This window comes from Homo sapiens, chromosome 14 (assembly GCF_000001405.40).
Source record: "Homo sapiens chromosome 14, GRCh38.p14 Primary Assembly".
Lineage (NCBI taxonomy): Eukaryota > Metazoa > Chordata > Mammalia > Primates > Hominidae > Homo > Homo sapiens.
In genome coordinates, this window is record NC_000014.9 from 42,628,292 (window position 1) to 42,633,072 (window position 4,781).

The following is a 4,781-nucleotide window of genomic DNA, read 5'->3' on the forward strand; positions in this document are numbered from 1 at the left end:
AAGTAGTGTAAGAAAAAATAAATCAGTAAAAATATAAAATGTACATGCTGATTTTCTCTTTTAAAACTATGGTTTCAAATAAAAAGTAGAAATTGTAATGGTTAACAATGTATATATCTATCCACAGACATACGTCTATATACATATAAACAGATGCAAAGTAGGAATACATTATATATGTTCTAACTTCATGTATAGCAGGTATAGGTTTTATATGTAAGTTAGGTGTATAATTCATCTTAAAAAATTAGTTTAAACTTTTAAATTGACAAAGGTATTACAAATAGCTTTTAATAAATTCCTAGATGTTGTCTAGAGTATAATTCAAAAATTAATTTATGCTACAAGGGTCTTCACCTTTCAGTATCTAGCTTTTTTGCATCTAGCTAGAGCTAACATTCATTGTAAAGGGTTAACAGTGATGCAAATTCTTCCTATTTATAGCAATGTGAGAGAATGAATACACAACTGAAAAATAACTAGACCATATATAAAGACAGAACTCTGACCTACAGTCTGCAGTAACTGCCCAGGAAACCAACCACTTATCTCCAGTAACCTGCCAGGAAGTGAGCCCGCTATGTCTAACATCTAGAAAATTAGAATTCTATTTTTAGTAGCCTTGGAGAAATCTAAATAACTTTTTTAACAATCAGTCCAAAATGCCCAAGGCTTAATCAATACTTGACAACTTCCTTAATTTTTGTTCCTGCTTCCATCTTAGACTTAACCAGAGAAGGCCAAATAGGTAACCCTAACCAATCACATACAATGCCTCAGTTCTAGTTAGCCTGCCTACAACTTCACATTGACAGCCTCCAGTCAGGGCATACATCAAGCTTTTAGTTTTTTTCTTCCTGCAATAAATGTTGCCCACTCTTGCTTGCCTTTTAGTTTCTGCCAAAAGCAAATGATAGTGGCTGACTTTCTTGCTATAGCAATCTTTGAATAAATAGCCTTTTCTTGTTTATGTTTGGTCGGTCTTCACTTTTTTTTTAAACTTTAAGTTTAGGGGTACAAGTGCCGATTTGTTACATAGGTAAACATGTGTCACGGGGGTTTGTTGTACCAATTATTTCATCACCCAAGTATTAAGCCTAGTACCCATTAGTTATATTCCCTGATTTTCTTCGTCCTCCCACTCTCCACCCTCTGAAAGACTCCAGTGTCTCTTGTTCCCCTCTATGTGTCCATGTGTTCTTATCATTCAGCTCTCTTATAAGTGAGAACATGCAGTAATTGGTTTTCTGTTCCCTTGTTAGTTTGCTAAGGATATTGGCTTCCAGCTCCATCCATGTCCCTGCAAAAGACATGCTCTTGTTTTTTGTTTTTTGCTTTTTTTAGGGCTGCTTAGTATACCATGGTGTATATTATTTCCACAGTTATCTTGGAAGTCCCACTGAAACTCAGTCTGTACTAGCGGTCTCTGGGAGCCCTAGCTTTGGACCAGATGTATTGCCCACAGGAGGCCTCTTGTGCCTTGCTGCTCTCAGCTTGCAGAGTAAGTGACAGTGTGGTAATTTGGAATCCTGCTCTCTTTACCTTAGAATTCTCCACTATTTACTATTTGGTTTGGTACAAGGGTTTTGTTGTTGGTTCCCACTTGTTTGCCCTCCTTGATGAAATCAGGCCATTCTTTCTCATAGTAGTTTGCTATTTTTTTTGTTTTGTTAACTCTTTTGTTTTTTGCTGTTTAAAACTGTTGTTTGTCATAAAAGGGAGAATCATGAGGGAAGGCACAGATAAAGGCTCTATAAGCCTGTTGTCTCACCTGGCCTCAAAGACCAGGGAGTTTGTTCTTTGTTTATTTTCACCAATGCAAATTAATTTATTTCCAGTTCAAGAAACAATTATCAATTAAAATGTATATAAAACATGCAGTTTTCAGTTGTATCTACTTGAAGATATCTTTATGTGTGAACATATAAGCTTCGATCATTTTGGAGAAATTAAACATTGGGGGGTCTTCTACTTAAAAAAACAGTCCATTTATAGGGCTTTACAATATGAAAATATGTCTTTCAATGACTTACATATAAGAATTATATATTGTAAGGTACATGTTAAACATGTTTAATATACTGGACAATTTTATTTCATTTGAAAATATCAAATAAGATATAATGCTAAGTTTCAAATGGATTATCTTGCATAATTTCTTCTTATTTGATCCACTGAAGTTGCCAGTTTATTGTTTTGTGGTTGATGTGAACATAGTGGCTTCTTTTAGATTTCAGTTTCTGGAGATACAGATGACTACTACTCCATCATTTCATATAATATTTTCAGCAAACTCAAAGGAAACTGAAAAAAATTAAAAATTAAAATATAATTTTTGCCATATTTAAAATGGTTGTCACAGGGGCAACAGGCTAAAGTGGCCCATGCAAAGCTATTTTTTAATGGGAAAATTTTACATCTATAGAGAATCTCCATTAATGCAGTGTTGTCTCCCCTCGTCCAGATCTAAGAAAGATTAACTGAGAATCTGATAACTTCAGTGGCATAACAATAAATAATAATAATGATAATAATTACCATCTATTTTTTTCTAAAGGTTGCTACCTGTGAGGTTTCATCTATGTAACCAGATCACCTTTGCTAGCTATGCCTCCTCTTCCCCCTCTCCCATCACCTGCCTTGCCATTAAAGCCTGATATACCACTATAACCTGTTCGTAGCCATACTTTGAGCCTGCATTCTTTCTGTAGCCTCAAGATGGTATGTTAGTTTCCTATTGGGGGTCGGGCTTTCTTTCTAAAGGCTCTTATGTATAAGAATTAAATAAATTTATGTGCCTTTTCTCCTGTTAATCAATCTGCCTCACGACAGTGATTTTCAGCAAACTTTCAGGGGTCAAGCACCTTGGTCCCTTCATAACATATATTCATACACACATAACCTGACAACAAAAAGAAGGTAAACATTTGCTGCTCTTTGGAATCTCTGCTAAGGCTAAGCAGACCTTGTCTCTCTCTAGAAAAGTATGTAAATCAGGAGTAAGTCTGTACGCTCTCAAAATAAAGCATTAAAAGCATAAAACTGAGAAGATTTGTTGGGTGTTCTCTCAACCAGATATTAAAAATGTATATTTTTATATTGAATATCCTTGTTATTACTATAGAAACAAAATGTAGTTCCCAAAAGAAAAGAAAAATCGTGTTTTCTGGTTAAAAATAAAAGTTAGAGTACGATAATAATTTGTCCTTCTTAATAGAAAACATGGCTATAGATTGGGATAAAGACGATAAACAAAGAAGATTGTACCATCAATTATTATAAGAAAATTTTATGACAAGGTTGTTAGTAGATTCAGCCAGAATAAAAGACAGGAATTGTGGCACAGAAATTAAAGTACTTGATGTCTAAGCCCAGTGTTAATCTATAGCTGTTGGAGGACATTGGAAAAAAGACAGATAAAAATTGCAGTGAAAGGCTGTCTATGCCCTTAGGTATCCTTTACAAATTCTAATTTGTTGTTGTTCACTGAACTGTTTCATTCTTTAAATAGCCCACACATTCTATTTACTCTAAAACCAAAATGACAACCAAGGCCTTTTATGCATGTGCATGTTTGGGGAATAGAGTACATTTCCCAGAATGTTTGCCCAGTTTTTGTTTTAATTTTTTCTTCTTTACGAAAGACAGTAAAAACATATAGGCAAAATAACTTAAGCTTATGTCCCTGCTTTATTTTTGTGCTGTGCAACTTTGTTTTCAATTCTGTAATCTGAGGGTCATGCGCTTAGTTTGGCTGCTACTCTTAGGATACTATTATCATATGTATTTTCCTTTATCCTTCATTCTTTTGATATAATGATTTTGTTTCCCTAATAGTAAGACATATATTATCAATCATGGCTCAATGGAATTACCAAAAACCAATAAAATATTTATTTAATATAAACAAAGTTGAATAAAATAATAGAGAAAAATACATTGGATGCTTGCAAAAGTACTACTATTGTAAAGTTGTGTGATTTCCTCCACTTGGTTTCATTCAGCCTCATGTGTTTTTAAATAGTTGAAAAATCATAATTTACCAGCAATATTTTAGCTATTTCTTTGCCTAATATCATAAGACATACTTAGTCATGTTCCTGTATAATTTTCATAAACTCACTTTTAATACTTATATCATATATGTTTAATAAATGCTCCACAATTTAATAAACTATTTTTTCCATTGGAACTTTAATTTTGCTATTTTTTACTTTCATCAATAACATTGTGTGGAACACGTATGCACATATTTTTGGTCTGTAATTTGAATCAACTGAAATCATATATCTTTATTATATTCCTACTATAGATAATGTACCAGGTTAGCAATTTGAAATAAATAGATGGCTAATATTGGTCTTTTTCTCAATGAATTCATATTAATATTTTAGCGAGGGAGACCATTAAAACATATGCACGGAAAATAGAGAGTTTCTTCTCAGTCCCACAGTATACAAAAATGTCATGTTAAAGAATTTAGAATTCAAATAGGAAAAAGAGAATAAATAAATTTATAAAACAACTTAATGTAATTTTATGTAATATGAAATATCAAACAAATTTTGTGTCTTTAAGGCCCATTAATTTTTGTGCATTAATGTCTATTAAAATTTTATTGTTTTTTCAAACTTTCAGCTCAAAAATAGTTGTAACATTTTAATTTCTTTTGCATTGAAATTTTTCTAGATTCCAATTATCTATTCTATAGTTCAAATGCATATTTAAACAAATATTCTTAGCCTACCAAAGAAGTTCTTACTCCACACTCCCCACTCAAT